Source organism: Homo sapiens, chromosome 6 (genome assembly GCF_000001405.40).
Source record: "Homo sapiens chromosome 6, GRCh38.p14 Primary Assembly".
Classification (NCBI taxonomy): Eukaryota; Metazoa; Chordata; class Mammalia; order Primates; family Hominidae; genus Homo; species Homo sapiens.
This window is the reverse complement of record NC_000006.12, coordinates 97,599,895-97,624,638: the sequence shown is the minus strand read 5'-3', so window position 1 is coordinate 97,624,638 and position 24,744 is coordinate 97,599,895. Positions and strand designations below refer to the sequence as shown.

General features: G+C 35.6%; 1 long non-coding RNA gene across 1 annotated transcript in view; it reads right to left on the bottom strand.

Moving 5' to 3' along the window:
- LOC101927314 (uncharacterized) overlaps nt 1–24,744 on the bottom strand; it is a 403,332-nt gene that overhangs the window by 84,279 nt on the left and 294,309 nt on the right. The window contains exons 2-3 of the long non-coding RNA NR_110757.1: nt 12,300–12,471; nt 6,408–6,513 (exon numbers count right to left, since the gene is read on the bottom strand). This is a non-coding gene — a long non-coding RNA (uncharacterized LOC101927314). The remainder of the gene's footprint in view (nt 1–6,407; nt 6,514–12,299; nt 12,472–24,744) is intronic.

Below are 24,744 nucleotides of genomic sequence, written 5' to 3'. Positions count from 1 at the left end.
CACTCACTGATTCAGATCATGCATATTTGAGGACAGCTAAATTGGGATCGTTCTCAGAAATTATACTTTAAGGAATGGATTGAAAAATCTACTACATCCAGGAAGTTTTACATATATATATGTAAAACTACATATATATGTAAAACTATATATATATATAGTTATTTAACAAAAAGACATATTACATGCACTAGCACAGAAGATATAAATCAAGTCACATAGCAATGAGGGAAGGTCTGCCAATTCCAGGTAAAGGTCTTTCACGTGATATTTATACTCAGTAAGCCAGAGATGCCATGTTACCTGGTTATGTGAGAAAAAAAAAAGATTCAACAGGAAGGTAAAATATTTTCCATTGTTGCACTATCACAAGCATTTTAAAATTACAAAACTAATTTTAAATGAAAATGTGTTCTTAAACCTCAAGTGTCACATGTATCCCCTTGAACCTGCCCTTTGGCTAAAGATCCTATCTTGGTTAATGGCACTATCATTCATCTATCCCGGAAAACTGGGAGCCATCCTGCTATTTCCCTACTCAAAAGTCACCTGTGTACTAACAATTCTACTTCCATGACATTGGCTAAAACAGAATCATCTTTGCTGATACTTAGTTCAGAACCTCATTGTCTCATGCCTGAACTACTGTAATAGTCTCCAACTTGTCTCCTTTATCTCAGATTCTACCACTCATTGCCTTCTCTAAATTCTCATTAAAATAATCTTGCTAACACAGTCTGATTGTGCTATTCCTCAACTTGAAACCTGTGATCTCATATCAGACTCTTCTCAGCCCAGCCCCATGTGCTTGTCCCTCCCTACTGTCATCCTCCATGCCCACTCTCATCCCCAGTGCCCTCCGTGTATCACCCATATTCTTTTTCATTTTGTTACTCGTTCTTCTAGCTTATGTTAGTTCTGTAGTCTATAATGGACTTATTTTTCCCATTTAGTCTAAATATTACATGAGTGCTTGAAAAGAAACTTCTATGTAAGTTCTATATAGACCCATTAGGTGAAGCTTCTGTCAGCTACCGAGAGAAGTGTGTTCAGATATTTTTGAATTGTGGATTTGTCATTCTCCCATGTAGTATTATCCATTTATGTTTATATATATTTTTAAGTCAAACTTAATTTTTAAAATTTATATATATAAATATATATTTTGAAACAAGGTCTTATTCTGTCAACCAGGCAGTGGCGTAATCACAGCCCACCGTAACCTCCAAACTCTAGGGCTCAGGTGGTACTCCCAAGTCAACCTCCCAAGTAGCTGGGAATACAGGCATGTGCCATCATGCTCAGTTAATTTTTTAATTTTTAGTAGAGACAGGGTCTTGCTATGTTGCCCAGGCTTGTATCAAACTCTTGGCCTCCGTTGATCCTCCTGCCTTGGCCTCCCAAAATGCTGGAATTACAGGCATGAGCCACCACAGCTGGCCTTAAGTCAAACTTTAGATTATATATAAATGTACTTTTAAAATTTATTTATTTGAAAGTCAATTACTAAAAGCTATATGTAAATATTAAGACATTAACAATGAATTTTTAATTAAAATGACAATTTATAATTGTATAAACTTATGGCACACAAAGAGATGTTAATAAGGAATAATTAAATCGAACTAGTTAACATATCCATCACCTCAAATACTTAACATTCTTTTGTGGTAAGAACATTAGAAATTTACTCTCAGCAATTTTGAAATGTACAATACTCTATTATTAACTATATTTATTTTTAACAATATTAGGCTTATATAATTTTCTAATATGCATACATATATATTTATATGTTCCATTTAACTTTATACTGGCTTAAATTATTCTATACAAAAATAATATAGTGATAACACCTTTCTTCTGGCTAGTAATTATCTGGGATTTGTTTTCATCATTTACTTTCATCATGGCTGTGTCCTTATGTTTTAAGTACAAATCTTTAGAGAGCATACTACTGAAATTTTAAAAATCCAGTCTGACCACTTTTGTCTTTTATTTGGAGAGTTTGCTCCATACATATTAATTGTGACTACCGGCCTGTTTGAATTTACTTCACTTAATTTGTGCATCTGAGACTGCCCTATTTGATTTTTGTTCTGTTTCTTTTTAGCTTGTCTGTCTCCTTAATTCCTTCAAGAAGTGTGTACTGAACAATTACTATCTTGCAAGCACTATTCTAGACATTGGAGATTGGAGCTGAAGGAGATACAGACTCTTGCTCTCAGGGAGATTACATTCTAGTGGGAGGGGAGAGACAATGAATAAGTATACAATTGAATATGAACATAAATAAATAGTAATGAAAATATTTTAAAAACATATGTTATATTCTTATTGTCCTTACTCTTCTCAGAAGCTCATTTTTCTTCTGAGGCTATAGGAGTAGCTTTGTAATGGGTCTCTCCTTGTTCTGTATCTCCTTTTCTAGTCCATCTGCCCCACTAATATTATCATGTTGTGATTTAAATATTACTTTTCCTAGCTTAAAACCTTCAACATCACCCTCTTGGCTACTTCATAGAGCAAAAATACCTTAGCCCAACATTTAAAATCCTCTACAAAATGGGATCAACCTACATTTTCTAGCTATTTCTTCAATAGAAATATAGTGAAATATACCTATATGACTTAGAAACATAGCAATAGAAATACAGTGAAACATACCTATACCACTTAATTCAACTGATGAGTAAAAGTTCATGTTGCTTGCCGGGGTGGGAATGATATGAAAGAAAAATTGACAGAGTGGAGGAGAAGAAGAAAAGACTAGAAGAGAATTACTTTAGTTATAAAATGTTAATATCTCCTTAAAACTTTAGGGAAATTATTAACACATTAATTTGACATTTTTTAGTATACATGTATGGAGCTCCTGCTATATGCCAAGCACTGTGCTAAGCCCAAGGATTATAAAGATGAATAATAAGATGTAATATTTGCCTTCAAGGATGGTGGAGCTTAGTGAGAAAAAGATAAATAAACACATAGAGGAAAATGTACTAAGTATTATGACAGAAGTATCTGTGAAGTGCAACTAGAGAACTCAGGCAGGAGGCTCTGTAAAGGTTTCAGGTGAATTAGCTCTTCTACTGAGAAAACAGCATGAGAACTGAGAAAGGCAGGCCTTCATGCTTTCAGAGCATTTAAGGCCTCTTTTACTTGCAGATATTATAGTAATAAATTGATATATTTAAAATAGTATTAATGTCACACCATAGAAGTATCACCAACTTCTGCATATACTGCTTTAAATTATTTCACAAACATTTGATTAAACATGACAGTAAGTGCATGAAGTTATTTATTCCTCACCCTTGAAAATCATACTAAACTGACAGTAAAATAATTTTAAAACTTAGAACCCTGAAGGATGAAAAGGAGAGAAGAAGATGCCAGATAAGTTATTTCAAAAACATTCCTGAAATGTTATAATGTAAATGGATGAATAGTAACTGCTTAGCAAACCAGATAAAGCTGAAGCCTTAACCTGAATTGAAGAAAACCAATAGGAAACTGCCAATTTTACCTCAAAAACCCAAAGAGATTTTCCCTTCAAGCTAGAGAAACAGAATGGCCCAGGGAATACACGCACATAAAGATTTAGACTCTCTCAATTAAAAAGCCATGTTACCACTTCATCATACTAATAAACCACACCTATCAAGATACCTCATTATAAAGACTTCCCAAATTATTATTTGGCTCTTACTCTTAAATATAGAGAAACAGTCAAGGATCCTTCAACCTGTGGAGAAATATTCTAACATGAAAGGAAAAAAAACAAAACATAGAATCTGGAATCTGAATGAGGTTTCTGGAGAGAAAGTTGGGTTTCTGTACAGAAATACTAAGAGTGGAAGACAGTGAAGAGAAACTTTCAAAGTTTTGAGAGAAAATTATTTCTAATGTAAAACTGAATACCTTACCAGAGTATAGATCAAGTATAATTACAGAATAAAGATATTCTGGTATATTCAAGGCCACAAAATTTTACCTCCTCAGTATTCTTGTCAGGAATTTTCTTGGAAATGAACTCCACTGCAAAGTTGACAGTAAACCAAGAAAAACAACAGGAAAGAGAAACATAGCTCAGGAAAAAGATAAAGGGAAAATCTCAGACTGATGGTGAGGGCTCTAGAATGGACACCTTCAAGAAAAAATAATGTCTAAAAATATTGAAAGTAAAACAAATTCACTTAACATAGATGTGGCTATCAAAACCAGGAACAACTGTTGAAGGGAAGCTCAATATAGATGATGTGTTCACATGGAAAAATGGAGAGGGTTGAAGAATAAAGCACACAGATTATCAAAGGAAGAAAATTTGAAAATTGAAAAAGGTAACTCAGTGTGTTCAATAACTGACCTGTTAGAAAGTTTCATCTAACTGACCTGTTAGAAAGTTTTTAATGTTTAAAACATGATTTCAGGAAACTCTAGGAAAGGAAATATTTAAAATCAACTCCACTGACAAAGTTTTGCAAATTGATTTATTTGAAAAGCTCCTGATATACACTGACATACTTCTTCATTGATAGCTAGATAGGTAGAAAGGGTTTTTGCTTGTTGGAGACGTTATTGGTACCTTATTCTAATTACCGAAATAAATGTCATCGATGTGCGTCTCTCTTAAAAATTATGACAAAAAAATAAGAAAATAAATTGCCGTGTTTAACTATCCTCCTAAAGTTAAGGCTGGCCGAAAATTAAAATTTTTACCAAAACTACAAGGTCCCCTGAGACTCCCCAGAAATCTTACAATACCAGTCAGGCTAGTTTGAGTGGCTATTCCCTGCAACAAACTCTAATTGGTATGTGTAATAAAACCTAATATACATAAGTGAAACAAGATTTTGGGGGAAACTTAGTGATTATTTTTTAATTAAGACTACTTTACTGGGCCGGGCGCGGTGGCTCAGGCCTGTAATCCCAGCACTTGGGAGACCAAGGTGGGTGGATCACCTGAGGTCAGAGTTCAAGACCAGCTTGACCAACATGATGAAACGCAATCTCTACTAAAAATACAAAATTAGCCAGGCTTGGGTGGTGCGTGCCTGTAATCCCAGCTACTCAAGAGGCTGAGACAGGAGAATCGCTTGAACATGGGAGGCCAAGGTTGCAGTGAGCTGAGATCACACCATTGCACTGCAGCCTGGGCAACAAGAGTGAAACTCTCTCTCTCAAAAAATAAAAATAAATAAATAAATAAAAATAAAGAATACTTTACATGAAGCTGTATTTGAATACTTTACTGTATTTTCATTCCTACAGGAAAAGTCTGCAAGGGCAAAAAGAAACAGCTTATTCTTCACTTCATTCTAGCCTCACCTCAAACCTTCTCAAAGCACTTCAAACTTACTAGCTCATGAATTCAAAAACTTCATCAAGAAGCCAGGCCAGTTTAGAAAGCTGACCATCCACTTTGGGTCAATCTAAAGTAGAGAAAGAAAGTTATATTGTGGGCTAGGAATGCCTAATAGGCTCAGTGTCCAGCTAACAAGTGAAATAGATTTATTTACAAAAAAAAATAAGCTACCTCTTGTTTTCAAACAAAATCTATTTAAATTTACATAAAATTGGTCAAATTATGCTTTTTCCCTAAATTTAATGAATTTAATACTTATTAGCCCTCTTCCAGTTTTCAACAAACTAAGCAAATGCTCATCAGGGAACAATGAAAACTCAGTAATTAGTTCAAAATTTATAAACTTACATCTGAAGTCATTATCTGAATTCCTATAAATAAAAAACATAAAACTTAACTTTAACATAAAACTTAATTTTTCACCAGGGGAATATCATGTTCTCTCCAAATTAACCCACCCCTCCAAAACAAGAATAACCATTGTAACTATGCTTACATGGTTCATCTATATACAATGCCAAAATTAGTTTTCTGAGGCATTAAAAGGTACCACTTGTGTATATAACTATGAGCTTCACTAATAAGCCTTTTAAAGTTCTGGATTTCTTTTGATATGATAATAACCTAATTCAGAGGCATAGAGAAGGGATCCCAAATATGTTAACTACTTAAAATCGAGTAAAAGGGGTCCTAGTGTGCAATGTGAAATTTTCATATGTGAAAAAATATACCATCTATCATTTGGTAGTATTTAAGCTATTTGATAACTACCTTGGAAAGGAACTTTTTCCTCTTTGTGTTAAACTTCTTGCATTTTATTTAGAGTCATGTTCATCAAAGCCATTTCTGGGGCAAGGAATGAGCCTACACAAATAAGACAATTCCAAGAAAGATATTTTCTAATATCTTGACCAAAAATTATCCTTCCTTTCTCATCCTGGAACTACAGGGTGAGTTCATTTCAATACACTAACCATTACAAAATCATTTTAGAAGACCCTCAACAACAGTAAAATTGGCCTCATTGCAGTGTACTCACACTTTTTGTGCACAGGTCCAAGACATAAGGAGTCAAAACCACCTCTGATGCCTTCTGACAGATTGAAGATGAACCAGATTCCACAGGGTGTACACGCCAAGGACATCTAGAAGCCAAATGACAAAAAATTAACATCTCCAGATTCTGTCTGTGCAGACACAGGAGCAACACAGATTTATAAACTCTGAGTGTATCATCAAGAGAATCAAGTCAAATCCAGCTTTGTTCTCTTTCACTATTTCATCAAAAATAGCATCATATTCTAAAAACTGGGTTTTATATATCAAAAACTAACTTCTTTGTAATTTGTTTATGTTAGCCTTGGTTTTCATTTCAAATGGGACAGAATCTCAGACAGGGTGTTGACATTTTATGGAGCTTTTATTAAAGTATTTTATGAATTTTATAGCTAGAACTTTAACTCATTTGTGGAAAGTACATCTTAAGGTCATCTAAGCCAAGCTTTAGGGCAAGTGTCACCTGGGTTGAAGTTAAACCCCTTAAATATAAAATAGAGTTAATACTAACATCTGCATCTTGGGGATATTAGGATGGAATTTAGCACAGTAGCAGACACACAGTCTTTTTAAAATGTGAGGTTTATCATTTAAATTATTATTCTCATTCATTTAAAACTTACATATTTCTAAGAACCACACTTCTTACTCTCATTCCAGTTAGTTGCCCCTTTTTTAATCAATGGAGGCAGTTATTGTAGAAGATTGCTCCACAGTCAAAAGAGAAAGGTACGACATTTTAATGGTGAGCAAAAGAACTTTGAATGAGCTCAGGGACTACCTCAAAACCTACAGCAAAAGTAATTATCAGAGTCTCCAGAAACAAAATTAAAACAATTCTATAGCACCATGAGACATCTCATAAGGGTAGCAAGACCACATGTTAGGTGCTGCATTATATCCTTTAATTCCCTCTCCCTTACGCAATATCACTATATGAGTACAGCAGATGCCTTAGCTCTGCCTTAGCCCGCTTTTCCCACAAATCAGGGCCAAAGATAATGTCTATGAGAAATTTATTTGAAAATGCAACCTTGGGAAGTATGATCAAGAGATAAGAAAAATTAAATCAGATGAGGAGAAAGACAATATATATTACATTAAGTGGGATATATTATCAAGTTGGTGCCATTATGAGCAACTGGTTGTTTAATCTAGTCCGACGTTCTGAGAAACCTTATGAAACTGATTTCAGAACCATGTCTCCAGATAAAGAAAAGAGAAAGCAATAACTCATAGTCTCCTATTCCCCAGTGATCAAAGATCGCTCTGTATGTTGTTACCTTTCTTGCAATTCTAAGTTGCTCGTGAATGACTGTCAAACAGATTGCTACAGGTGTTCTCATGCCATGTGTTGGTGAGACACCATTAGTTTGAATCTGCATGGAATAAATCAAAGAAAATCATACAACTGATAAAAACAGCCATAGTTAAAATAAACATTGAGGATTTAAAATGATGCAAAAGAATTGAACATACAAAAATCAATCAATGTAATATACCACATTAATAAAATGAAGCAGGCAAACACATGGTCATCTCCATTGATGCAGAAAAGGGATTTTACACAATACAACATCTGTTCATATAAAAACATTCAACAAGCTGGGAATAGAAAAAAACGTTCCTCAAAATGACAAAAGGCACTTAGGAAAAACCCACATTATATTCAAAGACAAAGGATGAAAGCTTTTACACTGAGATCAGGAACAAGACACTCATGTCCACTTTCATCATTTCTGTTTAACCCTGCCCTGGAAGGTCCAGCAATAGCAATTAGGCAAGAAAAAAAAAATCGAAGCCATACAAATTGGAAAGAAGGAACAAAATTATTTCTATTCAGAGATAGCATTATTTTATATACAGAAAATCCTAAATAATCAAAGCAATTAGAGCTGATAAGTGTATTCATCAATGTTTCAGGATAAAGATCAACACACAAAAATCAGTTCTATTTCTATATGCTAGCAATTAACAATATAAGAATGAAATTAAGAAAACAATTTTGTTCATAATGGCATCAAAAAGAATAAAATATTTAGGAATAAATTTAATCAAGGAATTCCAAGACTTGTACACTGAAAATTACAAAACATTGCTAAAAGAAGTTAAAAGGCCTAAATAAAGAGAAAAACATTCCATTTCATTAATTGGAAGATTTATTATTAAGATATTAATACTAAGCAATCTACGGGCTAGGTACAATCCCAGACAAAATCCCAATGACCTTTCTTAGCAAAAATGGAAAAGTTATTCCTAAAATTCACATAATAATGGAACTACCCAACACTGGAGCATCCAAATATATAAAGCAAATATTATTAGAGCTAAACAGAGAGATAGACACCACTGCAATAGTAGCTGGAGACCTCAACACCCCACTTTCAGCGTTGGACAGATCTCCCAAACACAAAATCAACAATGAAACGTTAGATTTAAAAACTGCACTATAGATCGAATGAAACTAAAAGATATTTACAGAACATTTCATGCAATGGCTGCAGAATATATACACTTTTCCTCAACACATGGATCATTCTCAAGATAGACCATGTGTCAGGTCATATAAGAAGTCTTAAAACATTCAAAAAAATTGAAATAACATCAAGCATCTTCTCTGACCACATGGAATAAAACTAGAAATCAATAACAAGAGGAATTTTGGAAACTATATAAACACGTGGAAATTAACCAATATGCTCTGAATAAGCAATGGGTCAATGAAGAAATTAAGAATGAAATTGAAAAGTTTCTTGAAAAAATATTAATGGAAGCATAATTAAGCAAAACCTATGAGATACAACAAAAGCATTACTAACAGGGAAGTCTATACCTGTAACTGCCTACATCAGAAAAGAAGAAAAACTTCCAATAAGCAACCTAATGATACATCTTAAAGAACTAGAAAAGCAAGAGTAAACTAAACCCATAATTAGTCAGAAAAAAAGAAATAATAAAGATCAGAGAAAAATAAGTGAATTTGAAGTGAAGAAAACAATACAAAAGATTAATGAAACAAAAAATTTGTTTAAAAAAGATAAGCAAAATAGTCAAACCTTTAGCCACACTACCTAAGAAAAAAAGAAAGACTCAAATAAACAAAATTGGAGATGCAAAAGGAGACATTACAACTGAGTGCAGAAATTCAAAGGATCATTAGTGGCTACTGTGAGCAACTATACGTCAATAAATTGGAAAATCTAAAAAAAAAAAAATGGGCAAATTCTCGGACAAATACAACCTACCAAGGTTGAACTGTTAAGAAATACAAAATCTGAACAGACCAATAACAAGTAATGGGATTGAAGCTGTAATAAGAAGTCTCCCATAAAAGAAAAAAAAGCCCAGGACCTGATAGCTGATGGCTTCACTCCTGAATTCTACCAAACATTAAAAAAAGAACTAATACCAATCCTATTCAAAGTATTCCAAAGATTAGAGGAGAAGGGAATACTTCCAATCTCATTTTATGAGGCTATTATTACCCTAATACCAAAACCAGACAAATATACATCCAAAAGAGAAAACTCTAGGCCAATATCACTGATCAATATTGATACAAAAATCCTAAAAAATGTACTAGCAAGGCAAATTCAACAACACATTTAAACATTATTCATCATGACCACGTGGAATTTATCTCAGGGATGGAAGAATGGTTAAACATATGCAAATCAACAATGTGATACATCACATCAACAGAATGAAGGATAAAAACCATATAATCATTTCAATTAATGCTGTAAAAGCATTTGATAAAATTCAATACTGCTTCATGATAAAAACCCTCAAAAACCCATGATAGAAGGAACAAGCCTCAACATAATAAAAGCCTTATAGGACAGACCCACAGCTAGTATCATAGCAAAAGGGTAAAAACTGAAAGCCTCTCCTCTAAGGTCAAGAACATGAGAAGGATGCTCACTTTCACCACCGTTGTTCAACATAGTACAAGAAGTCCTAGCTGTAGCAATTAGACAAGAGAAAGAAATAAAGGGCATCCAAATTGGAAATGAAGAAATCAGATTATCTCTGTTTGCAGATGATGGAATCTTATATTTGGAAAAGCAAAGACTCCACAAAAAAACTATTAGAATGAATAAAATTCAGTAAAGTTGCAGAATACAAAATCAACATACAACAATCAGTAGCATTTCTATATGCCAATAGCTAACATTGTGAAAAAGACATCAAAAAGTAATTCCATTTATAATAGCGACAAATAAAATAAAATGCCTAGGAATTACTTAACCAAAGAAGTAAAAGATCTCTGGAATAAAAACTATAAAACACTAATGCAAGAAATTGAAGAAGACACCAACAAATGGAAAGATATTCCATCTTTAAAGATTAGAAGAATCAATAGTGTTAAAATGGCCACACTACCCAAAGCAATCTATAGATTTAATGTAATCTCTATCACAACACCAAAGACATTCTTCACAGAAATAGAAAAAACAGTCCTAAACTTTATATGGAACCACAAAAGACCTGAAATAGCCAAAGCTATTCTGAGCAAAAAGAACAAAACTGAGGGAATCACTTTACCTTACTTTAAATTATACTGTGGAGCTGTAGTAACCAAAACAGCAAGGAACCAACATAAATACAGACACATAGATCAGTGGAACAGAATAGAGAACCGACAGATAAAACCCAAACATTTACAGTAAACTCATTTTTGACAAAGGTGCCAAGAACACACATTGGGAAGAGAAACTGTCTCTTCAATAAATATTGCAGAGAAAACTGGATTTGAAGAAGAGTGAAACAAGACCCCTATTTCTTGCTTAAAATCACAATGGATGAAAGACTTAAATTTTAGACCTCAAACTATGAAACCACTAAAAGAGAACATTGGGAAAACCCTCCAGGACCTTGGTTTGGGCAAAGACTTCTTGGGTAATACTCCACAAGCACAGGCAACCAAAGCAAAAATGGACAAATGGCATCACATCAAGTTAAAAACCTTCTGCACAGCAAGGGAAACAATCAACAAAGTGAAGAGACAACCCACAGAATAAAAGAAAATATTTGCAAACTTCCCATCTGACACATGATTAATAACCAGAATATACAAGGAACTCAAACAATTCTATAGGAAAATATCTAACAATCCAATATTTTAAATGGGCAAAAAATCTGAATAGACATTTCTCACAAGAAGACATACAATGGCAAACAGATATATGAAAAGGTGCTCAAAATCATTGATCATCAGAGAAATACAAATCAAAACTACAATGAAATATCATCTCACCCCAGTTAAAATGGCTTATATGCAAAAATCCAGGCAATAACAAATGCTGGTGAAGATGTGGAGTAAAGGGAACCCTGGTACAATGTTAGTGGAAATGTAAATCAGTACAACCACTATGGAGAAGAGTTTGGAGGGTCCTCAAAAAAAATTTGAAATAGTTGATTTCCCCTGGTTGGCAAGATGGTCAAATAGGAACGGCTCTGGTCTGCAGTTCCCAGTGAGATCAATGCAGAAGGCAGGTGATTTCTGCATTTCCAACTGAGGTAACCAGCTCATCTCACTGGAACTGGTTAGACAGTGGGTGCAGCCAACGGACGGCAAGCCAAAGCAAGGTGGGGCATTGCCTCACTTTAGAAGTGCGAGGGGTCAGGGAACTCCCTTCCCTCACCAAGGGAAGCTGTGAGGGACCCTGCCCAGCCTGGATACTACAATTTTCCCACAGTCTTCGCAACTCGCAGACCAGGAGATTCCCTCAGGTACCTATGCCAACAGGGCCCTGGGTTTCAAGCACAAAACGGGGCGGCTGTTTGGGCAGACAGTGAGCTAGCTGCAGGAATTTTTCTTTCACACCCCAGTGGCACCTGGAACACCAGCAAGACAGAAACATTCACTCACCTGGAAGGGGGCTGAAGCCAGGGAGCCAAGTGGTCTAGCTCAGTGGATCCCACCCCTATGGAGCCCAGCAAGCTAAGATCCAATGCTTGAAATTCTTGCTTCCAGCACAGCAGTCTGAAGTCTGAAGAAAAATACTCATTTTATGATGCCAGCATCATCCTGATACCAAAACCTGGCAGAGACACAACAAAAAAAGAAAATTTCAGGCCAATATCCTTGATGAACATCAATGCGAAAATCCTCAATAAAATACTGGCAAACTGAAACCAGCAGCACATCAAAAAGCTTATCCACCACGATCAACTCAGCTTCATCTCTAGGATGCAAGGCTGGTTCAATGTGCACAATTAATAAACGTAATCCATCACATAAACGGAACCAGTGACAAAAACCACATGATTATCTCAATAGATGCAGAAAAGGCCTTCGATAAAATCCAACAACCCCTTCATGGTAAAAAAAACTCTCAATAAACTACACATTGATGGAACATATCTCAAAATAGTAAGACCTATTTATGACAAACCAACAGCCAATATCATACTGAATGGGCAAAAGTTGGAAGCATTCCCTTTGAAAACCAGCACAAGAAAAGGATGCCCTCTCTCACTGCTCCTATTCAACATAGTAGCTATACAGACCAATGGAAAAGAACATATGGATTTTGTTTTTAATCCTGTTTACATGGTGAATCACATTTATTGATTTACATATGTTGAACCAACCCTGTATCTTGGGAATGTAGCCTACCTAATCATGGTGAATTAAGTTTCTGTTGTGCTATTGAATTTGGTTTGCTAGTATTTTGTTGATGTCTCTCTCTTTTTGATTCAGTTTTGGTGCAGTGTATGTATCTAGAAATTTATTAATTCCTTTAGGTTATCTAATTTTTTGGCATATAATTATTCATAATAATCCCTTATGGGCCTTTTAAATTTCTGAAGCACCCACTGTTATGTTTCCTTTTCAGTTTTATTTGAGTCTTCTCTCTTTTTTTCTTAGTCTAGCTAAGAGTTTGTTGATTTTATCTTTAAAATCACATAACATAATGACCTCCAGTTCCAGCCATATTGTTGCAAATGACAGGATCTCATTATTTTCTGTCTGAGCAATACTCTATTGTGTATATCTATCACACTTTCTTTATCCAAGAGTCCTTTATGATAAAAAAAAAATTTTCAAGAAACTAGGCATTGAAGAAACATACCTCGAAATAATTAGTGCCATGTATGTAAAAGTAACAGTCATCAGTGAAGAATTTTTTATATAGTGAAACTAAACTTCATAAATGAAGGAAAAATACAGTCTTTTTCAGACAAACAAATGCTGAGAGAATTTGCCACTATTAAGCCAGCAACACAAGAACTGCTAAAAGGAGCTCTAAATCTTAAATCAAATCTTCAAAATACACCAAAATAGAATTTCTTTAAAGCATACATCTCACAGGACTTATAAAACAAAAACACAATGAAAAAAAGGTATTCAAGCAACAAAGAGCATGATGAATAGAATAGTACCTCACATCTCAATAGGAACATTGAATGTAAATTGCCTAAATGCTCCACTTAAAAGATACAGAATGGCAGAATGAGTAAGAATTCACCAACCAAGTATCTGCTGTCTTCAAGAGACTCGCCTAACAAGTAAGGGCACATGTAAAGTTAAAGGGGTAGAAAAAGATATCCATAAAAATGGACACAAAAGCGAGCAGGAGTCACTATTTTCATATCAGACAAAACAAACTTTAGAGCAACAGCAATTTAAAAAGACAAAGAGAGGCATTTTATAATGATAAAATAACTTGTCCAACAGGAAAATATCACAATCCTAAATATATATGCACCTAACACTGGAACTCCCAAAATTATAAAACAAATACTACTAGACCCAAGAAATGAGACAGAGAGCAACATGATAATAATGGAGGACTTCAATAGTGACAGTACGAGACAGGTCAAGACAGAAAGTGAACAAAGAAACAACGAATTTAAATTATACCATATAACAAATGGACTTAACAGATATTTATAGAACATTTTACCCAACAACTGCAGAATATACATTCTATCCATCAGCACATGGAACATTCTCCAAGATAGACCACCAAGATAGACAATATGATAGGCCACAAAGCAAGTCTCAATAAATTTAAGAAAATTAAAATTATATTAAGGACTCTCTCAGACCACAGTCGGATAAAATTAGAAATCAACTCCAAAAGGAACCCACAAAACCATGCAAATACATGAAAATTAAATAACCTGCTCCTGAATGATCATTGAGTCAACAATGAAATTAAGATGGAAATTTAAAAATTCTTTGAACTGAATAATTGTGACACAACCTAACAAAACCTCTGGAATAAGCAAAGACAGTGTTAGGAGGAGGGTTCATAGCCTTAAATGCCTACATCAAAAAGTCTGAAAGAATGCAAATAGATAACCTAAGGTCACACCTCACAGAACGGGAGAAACAAGAACAAACCAAACCCAAACCCAGCAAAAAAAAAGAAATAACAAAGATCAGAGCAGAACTAAATGAAATTGAAACCAAAAAATACAAAAGATAAATGAAACAAAAAACTGATTCTTTGAAAAGATAAATAAAATTGATAGACCATTAGTGAGATTAACCAAGAAAAGAAGAGAGAAGATTCAAATAAGCGAAATGGGAGATATTACAACTGATACAAGAGAAATACAAAAGATCATTCAAGGATACTGTAAATACCTTTACACAGATAAACTGAGACCTAGAGGAGAGTGATAAATTCCTGAAAATATACAGCCCTCCTAGATGTAAAAAGAAAGAATGGAAACTCTGAACAGACCAATAACAAGCAGCAAGATTGAAATGGTAATAAAAAAAAATTGCCAAGAAAAAAAAAGTCCAGAACCAGATGGATTCACAACTGAATTACATAAGACATTCAAAAAAGAACTGGTACCAGTCATACTGACACTATTCCACAAGATAGAGAAAAAGGGAATATTCCCTAAGTCATTCTATTAAGCCAGTATCACCCTACTACCAAAACAAGGAAATGACATAACAAAAAAAAGAAAACCACAGAACAATATCCGTGATGAATATAGAGGCAAAAATCCTTAAGAAAATACTAGCTAACCAAATCCAACAGCGTATCAAAAAGATAATCCACCATGATCAAGTGGGTTTCATACCAGGATGCAAGGATGGTTTAACATACACAAGTAAGTAAATGTGATACACCAGATAAACTGATTATTTTTAAAAAATCACATAATCATCTCAATAGACACAGAAAAAGAATTTGACAAAATCCAGCATCCCTTTATGAATAAAACCCTCAGCAAAATCAGCATCTAAGGAATATAACTTAATGTAATAAAAGCCATCTATAAAAAACCCACAGCCAACATAATATTAAATGGAGAAAAGTCAAAAGCATTCCTCCTGAGAACTGGAACAAGACAAGGATGCCCACTCTCACAACTTCTATTTAACATGGCACTAGAAGTCCTAGTCAGAGCAATCAGACAAGAGAAAGAAATAAAGGGCATCAAAATCGATAAAGAGGAAGTCAAACTGTTGCTGTTCGCTGATCATATGATTGTATAACTAGAAAACCCTAAAGATTCATCCAAAAAGCTGCTAGAACTGATAAATGAATTCAGCAAACTTTCAGGAAACAAAATTAATATACACTAATCTGTAGCTCTGCTATACATGAACAGTGACCAAGCTGAGAATCAAATCAAGAAGTAGACCCCTTTTACAATAGCTGCAAAATAAAAAAATACTTAGGAATATACCTAACCAAGGAGGCGAAACACCTCTACAATGAAAACTACAAAACCCTGCTGAAAGAAATCATAGATGATGCAACAAATGGAAACACATCCCATGCTCATGGCTGGGTAGAGTCAATATTGTGAAAATGACCATACTGCCAAAAGCAATCTACAAATTCAATGCAATTCCCATCAAAATACCACCATCCTTCTTCACAGATCTAGAAAAAAAATCCTAAAATTCATATGGAACCAAAAAATAGCCCACATAGACAAAGCAAGATTAAGCAAAGTGAATAAATCTAGAGGCATCACATTATTCAACTTCAAACTATACTATAAGGCCATAGTCACCAAAACAGCATGGTACTGGTATAAAAATAGGCACAGAGACCAATGGAACAGAATAGAGAACCCAGAAATAAACCTAATACTTATAGCCAACTGATCTTTAACAAAGCAAACAAAAACATAAAGTGGGAAAAGGACACCCTATTCAACAAATGGTGCTGGGATAACTGGTAAGCCACATGTAGAAGAATGAAATTGGATCCTCATTTCTCACCCTATACAAAAATCAACTCAAGATTGATCAAAGACTTAAATCTAAGACTTGAAACCATAAAAATTCTAGAAGATAACATCAGGAAAAATCCTTTTAGACATTGGCTTAGGCAAAGACTTCATGACCAAGAACCCAAAAGCAAATGCAACAAAAACAAAGATAAATAGATGGGACTTAATTAAACTAAAAAGCTTCTACACAGCAAAAGAAACAATCAGCAGAGTAAACAGACAACCCACAGAGTGGGAAAAAATCTTCACAATCTATACAGCCAACAAAGGACTAATGTCCAGAATCTACAAGAAACAAACAAATTAGCAAGAAAAAAAATCCCATCAAAAAATGGTCTAAGAACACTAACTGACAATTATAAAAAGAAGATATACAAATGGCCAATAAATATATGAAACAATGCTAACCATCAGTAGTGATCAGGGAAATGCAAGGCAAAACCACAATGTGATACCACCTTACTTCTGCAAGAATGACCATAATAAAATAATAATAATAACAGATGTTGGCATGGATGTGATGAAAAAGGAACACTTTTCCACTGTTGGTGGAAATGTAAACTAGTACAACCACTATGGAAAACACTGTGGAGATTCCTGAAAGAACTAAAAGTAGTACTACCATTTGATCCAGCAATCTCACTACTGGGTATCTACCCAGAGGAAAAGAAGTCCTTATATTAAAAAGATACTTGCACACACACACACACACTCTCACACACATGCAAGATACTTGCACAGCACAATTTGCAATTGCAAAAATATGGGGCCAGCCCAAATGCCCATCAATCAATGAGTGGATAAAGAAATTGCAGTATATATATATATATATATATATATATATATATATATATATATATATATATCATGGAATACTACTCACCCATAAAAAGGAATGAAATAATGACATTCATAGCAACCTGGATGGAATTTGAGATCATTATTCTAAGTGAAGTAACTCAGGAATGGAAAACCAAACATCATATGTCCTCACTCATAAGTGATAGCTAAGCTATGTGGATGCAAAGGCTTAAGAATAATACAGTGGACTTTGGGGACTTGGTGGAAAGAGTGAGAGGGGGTGAAGGATAAAATACTACATATTGGGTACAGTGTACACTTCTCGGGTGATGGATGCGCCAAAATCTCAGAAATCACCACTAAAGAGCTTATTCATGTAACCAAACACCACCTGTTTCCCAAAAACCTATAATTTTAAAAAATGAATTAAAAAAAAAACCAGAAGAGGATAAGTCACACAGAAAAGAAGGCAATGTGAGATGGAGACAGAGATTGGAGTGATATGGCCGGAAGCCAAGGAATTCCTGGAGCCACCAGAAATTGACGAGGTAGGAAAGGATGCCTCCCTAGAGCCTTTGAAGGGAGTGTGGCCTTGCCAATTGACACCTTTATTTTGAACTTCTACCCTCCAAAATTTTGAAAGAATAAATTTCTATTGTTTTATGCCACCAAATTTGTGGTGATTATCGTAGCCCTGGGATATTAATAAGGGGACAATCCTTTTGTGCCTTAAATTAGCCAAGATGGTGTGACCGACTGTCACTGTGGCCCTTGTTTTTCCTGTAAGGGCAGACGTCCTGTTTTTGAAGAAGCTGTCCTATGGTGACCTCAGGACTTGGCTGTAAGTTAAGGTAAAGATCCTCTGTGCTCAAGCCAGCAACCAACCTTCAGCTGAGATTAAATGATGTGCAGGTCACATGTGAACTCTGAGTCATATTGTCTTAGATGAGAAGAAAAAAATAATACAAATATCTTTGACTGATCTCTAGCTCTTATGAAGCTGATACTTCCATTTCATTGTACATTAAAACATAAGAGTAAGGTTAGGCCAGGCACGGTGGCTCACGCCTTTAATCCCAGCACTTTGGGATGCCAAGGTGGGCAGATCACAAGGTCAGGAGATCGATACCATCCTGGCTTACACAGTGAAACCCAGTCTCTACTAAAAATACAAAAAATTAGCCAGGCGTGGTGGCAGACGCCTGTAGTCCCAGCTACTGGGGAGGCTGAGACAGGAGAATAGCATGTATCCGGGAGGTGGAGCTTGCGGTGAGCCAAGATTGCGCCACTGCACTCCAGCCTGGGCAACAGAGCGATATTCTGACTCAAAAAAAAACAAAACAAAACAAAAAACAACAACAACAACAAAAAAAAAAAACAAAAAAACAAACAGTAAGGTTAGCCCACATAAGAGAGTCAACTCTAACTTTTCCAAGGATGTAAAATGAGAAATAACTCCCTCAAATTACAGAAGCTATGATTCTACAAAAATCAGCAATTGGCCTTTAGCAATCTTCCCACAAGGTATCAATCATTACCTTGCTTGGACCTCTGCTGGAGCAGTCCCAAGTAGCTTATTACAAGAGAGTACCCCATTCATACCTCTCCCTTTCTACTGTGTCAGGGAGAGGAGACTTTATTAGAGAGAGAGAGAGGGACAGAGAGGGCATGGGGAAGAGAGAGACTGTGTGTGTGTGTGTGTGTGTGTGTGTGCGCGTGCACGCACTCGTGTATAAGTCATAGAATAACTTGTATAGGAGCTGAGTGCTATATATGTATAGATCACATAGACAATTCATAATTTCCTCAACAACCTTGCATGAAGTATCATTATATTTGCTTTATAGAATAGCAAACTGAGCCTTCAAAATAATGTGACAAATGTCACAGAGTACACAGGGGACAACATCAGTATTTGAACCCATGCTACATAACCACAAATACCGTGTTCTTTCCACTGTTCCACACTCTACCAATGCGAATAATGCTTTAAAAATTTTAGAAAAAGTAAAATAAATAAATAAAAGCAGGTATATTCAGTTTAAAATTCGGTACAGCTTTTCTAAATTTGAATCTGTCATTTATTTATAATTTCACAATGAATCCCTTGAATATGTTAATCAAGACATATGTACTATGAAACAATTTTTCCAAAAAATATATGTTCTTACTTTCACTATGTTTGTAATACAATTTATTCATGTTAAAAGGGAGGCATGGCCGGGTGCAGTGGCTCATGCCTGTAATCCCAGCACTTTGGGAGGCTGAGGCGGGTGGATGACCTGAGGTCGGAAGTTTGAGACTAGCCTGACCAACATGGAGAAACTCTGTCTCTACTAAAAATACAAAATTAGCTAGGCGTGGTGGCACATGCCTGTAATCCCTGCTATTCGGGAGGCTGCAGCAGGAGAATTGCTTGAACCCAGGAGGCGGAGGTTACAGTGAGCCGAGATCGTGCCATTGCACTCCAGCCTGGGCAATAAGAGCAAAACTCCCTCTCAAAAAAAAAAAAAAAAAAAAGAGACATGTTTTGTTCCCCACTCCCCACTATAAGAGATCATGTATATATGCTCTTCTCAACATAGCTATAAAAGGCAATTAAACTGTGCCTAATAATTTTACAGTTCATTTGCAGCCTCTAAAAGAACAAGGTTATATATGTTACCCCTTTTATTGGATCTTTCTGAGATCAGAAAGGAATAATTTTTCATTGATTAAGACAGTTAATCTCCTACATACTAATTTATTAAGCTATGAAACCACTGCAATCACTTTTCAGCTATCACTCATTCATGCACAAAAAGAAAAGTATAGATGCCACTTAGAAAAAAAAAAGACTTGATACTAAGAAATATTTGTGTTTATTTTGGAGTAAGAGCTACTAAAAACCCACCCATATAATATCAACAGTAAACACACACACACAAATATGCAAACACATACACACACCCTTATTATCTGTAATATCTTCCTTTCATTCAATAATGATTCAGTGAAAGAAAACTATCATTAAACAGTATGAAAATATAATGCATCAGAAGCTAGCATGAAGCTAAAAACAAATCTATGCATTGTACTTGGAGTAAAGCCAAGCATAAAAGAAACATATTATATATTTGACTCTGCAGCAAGTATGTACTAGGCTAGAATGGATAAGAACATCTATGTAAAATTTACTACTCAGTGTATAGTGTATGCAACTGAAGAATCACCATTACTCAGTAAATACGCATTTACTAAAAATACGATGAACACTAAGACTATCAGAGAAAAAATAAATAGGAAAATACTGGCCAGGCGTGGTGGCTCACCCCCGTAATTCCAGACTTTGGGAGGCTGAGGCGGGTGGATTGCCTGAGGTCAGGAGTTCAAGACTAGCCTGGCCAACATGGTGAAATCCCATCTCTGGTAAAAATACAAAACTTAGCCAGGCATGGTGGTGAACGTCCATAGTCCTAGCTACTCAGGAGGCTGAGGCACGAGAATCACTTGAACCTGGGAGGTGGAGGTTACAGTGAGCCGTGAGCCGAGATTGCACCACTGCACTCCAGTCTGGGCGGCAGAGCGAAACTCCACCTCCAAAAAAAAAAAAAAATACTATACTCTATTAATAGATTTCAAAGTTAAAGGAGATTATAAACTTACAGAATTAAAATAGACAAATGTAACTGCATATACAGACATATTTGAAGTCTCACATAAACATAAATTCATTTCTTTAGACTTTATCACATAGTAAGTGAACCCAGGGCTAGGTACAGGGAAAACAGAGGTGAATGGGAGAGACAAGATGTCTCTCTGCATGCTTACTGGACCTTTATGCATAAATCTCTAAAAACATGCACAAACATCAAAAAGGCAAAGATGAACAACCATGAAGGGTGATGAGAGAGGTGCCGAGGATTTAGTGGTGACCCACTAGACTCCAGTGTACAGTGATACCTATTAAGCTAATAATATCAACAATTCCTGTATTTTTATGCAGCTTTACTGAGATATGTAATACATCATACACAAGGGTCTCTACTAATTATCTTGGACTTTTGTTTATGTAACGACTATACTACTGCCATACAAATTTTCTTTAGCTATAAACTGGCAGGGGAGAGGGCAAACAGTGCCTAATTTGGCTAATCAGCTAATTCTGATTTCCCTGATAACATCCTTAGATACACAGAACCATGCCTCATAGGTCCATGTAGGATCTAGATTGTCTAATTGCTCAGGGGCCCTGTGAAGAACACAAAGTCTGCATTTCCCAGCCCTCCTCACAGTTAGAGGGAACCACATAGCCGAGTTATGACCAACAGAATATAGATGGAAGTGATGTATGCCACTTCAAATCCTGCCTCCTAAAGCCTGCTGCACAAGACACCACTCTCTCTTTTTCTATCCACTGCCTATAGGATAGCAGGGTGAGCTGGTATCCCTAAATGTTGAAGGGGATAGCATTAAAGCAAGAGGAGCTTCTGGATCCATTAATGACCAGATGGTACAAAACTTTCTGTACCGTTTTTCATCATGGACTAGGATCAATGGGTTTCCTCCTTAGTCCTTGGTCACTTCAGATTAGTCTAGCAACCAAATTCCTAAAAGCTTAATAAGCAATATAATGTTATCCTTGTCTATAAAGAACTATGATACAGAAAAATTCAGAGTAGAAAGAAGACATAACAGATTTTTCAAAGGAAAAGCAACATGGAAGCTGACACTCTTCCTTGAGGCAAAATTGTTCTTTCCTAAGCCCATATTGTTGCTTGTGCTATTCTCCACCACCCCTACAACAATCATGCAAGTATCAACCCACTCCTACTGCCTGTGCCAGCTACTGATCTGTCTTACATTGTTTTTATCAACCCATATCCTTTCAGGCCCAATACTGAAATCACCTTCTCAGGAAGTCTTCCTTAAGTCACCTCCCCATCCTATCTTTGTATCTTCCCTTTACATCGTCTCTGTATACCTGGCATCTAAACAATTCAAGTGAAACAACCCCCAATTAGTGCCTCAAAGGCAGGAATCTTCAATGGTGGTATCTTTAACACAGAGCCCAAAACTGTGCCCAAAGTAGCTATTCATAACTGTTTATTGAATCAATTCTAAGTAACTGACATTATTATATAATCAATATAATATAACGTTTAAAATTTTTATTTTTGGCAGGGTGCGGTGGCTCACGCCTTCAATCCCAGCACTTTGGGAGGCTGAGGCAGGCAGATCACGAGGTCAGGAGATCGAGACCATCCTGGCAAACACGGTGAAACCCCGTATCTACTGAAAACACACACACATAAAAAAAGCCGGGTGTGGTGGCGGGCGCCTGTAGTCCCAGCTACTCGGGAGGCTGAGGCAGGAGAATGGCATGAACCTGGGAGGCGTAGTTTGCAGTGAGCCAAGATCATGCCACTGCGCTCCAGCCTGGGCGACAGAGCGAGACTCCATCTCAAAAAAAACAAAACAAACAAACAAACAAACAAAACCTTTTATTTTTATCTTTCCAACAAGATTTCAAGCTGCTTGAAGACAGAGTTTATTGAAGACAGGGTTTATTATTTACCTTTTTCCCCATAAGCCTACTTCTGTATCTTGTATCATGTAGATAATCAAATAAGCATATTAAACAACCACCTGGAATTCATTATTTGCATTTTTACAAATGCTTAGAGATAAATTAGAAAACTAACATTTACTTAGGGACAAAAGGAAAATGTAGGCATTCTAGTTATTAATATATGCCTTTCCCTCTAATTCTGACATATTTTCCTGGGCCATGGGTAAAAAGAAAATGTTAGAAATATTCAGGAACATGTACTGAAGGAATACTCTGAAAAATGCCACATTATTTCATATAGAAAATTAAAATAAACAAAAGGCATTCTTTCCATTTTTAACTGGTACATAATTAACCCCCTATCAGAAGGTTATAACCTTGTTCATAATTTTTTATTTCCCATTATTTCTAACACTAGCCACTTCTCCTTATATTACTCCATACTATGCCTACTACCACATAAGCATTACCATCCATTGGCAAGAATATCCCTATTATGAGAAAAAAGAATTTCAAGCTACTTTAGTGGTACACTTCTTAAGGTCATCTAAATTTCTTCAATTAATTTTTGATGCCCTATCTACCTTCTGATTTTAATTTGGATTCATATATATATAATTTCCATATACACACACACATATATACATATACACACACATACACGTGCATGCCCCCACGCACACACACACACATACACTAATGTACGATTTCCCCATAAAAAGAGGCTGTTCATGAATAGATGAGTATTTCATTAGACATGACAATAAATTTCTCATTTACCTTTATGAATTGGCATTCTAGGATATTCATCAATAACTGAAATATGTTAAACATGTGCTTTCACACAAAGACACTAAGCCACTGGCTGCGTGCTAACAATGTAGATTATGGTCAACTGGACAAGATAAGTAAAACCACCCATAAGGAACCTCATGTTGGCCATCTAGGTTTCCTCTCAGGAAATATCCACTCTATTATGCAGTTTAAATCTCTGAAGCACCTGATAAGCTACTGTTGTGTATTACTGCCTACTTATCTCAGGTCTTATCTGTTGGAGAGGAGGTAGTTACATAAACTAGACAAGGTTTAAGATTCCTCCCTATCTCAAGGATCCATGTCTCTAGGCTATAGGAGCCTCCAACAGAGACTATATTTTACAATATTTTCTATCCCCCTACAATCCAGCATAGTTCTATATAGAATAATCAGTATGAACTAGTTGGATTGTTTATTGATTTACCTTAGGCTCTAAAGTTATTGTTTCTCCTTTATCCTAATTAGCTTTGAGGAGGGTATGGAGACTAGAAGTGATGGGAAGGAGAACGTGTGCTCAACAGAGTGAATACTATATGTCAGGCACTCAGGTACTTAATCCTAACAGTTTTGGAGATGGATGCTATTTTATTTCCTTTTCACCAATGAAGAATTTGTAGCTCAGGCCAATTATTTCATAATCACAATGGTAGCAATATAAACATCATTGGCAGTATTTGAATTCAGGATTGCCTATTTAACCCTCCTGGCAATCCTCTGCCAGTTCCTGCACTGTTTACCACCAGCAACTTGCAGAATTCCATCACAAAATCAAGCCAGTAAGTAATTTACAAGATGAGTAGCTCTAAGGTTATTCTTTGAGCTAACAGGAACTCTAACAAGCTCGTAATCATGTCGAACTTTACAGTGTCTTTTACTCCTCATATTTGCCTGAAACTTAGAGATACTTGTTTAGTAGGAGGCTCACCTT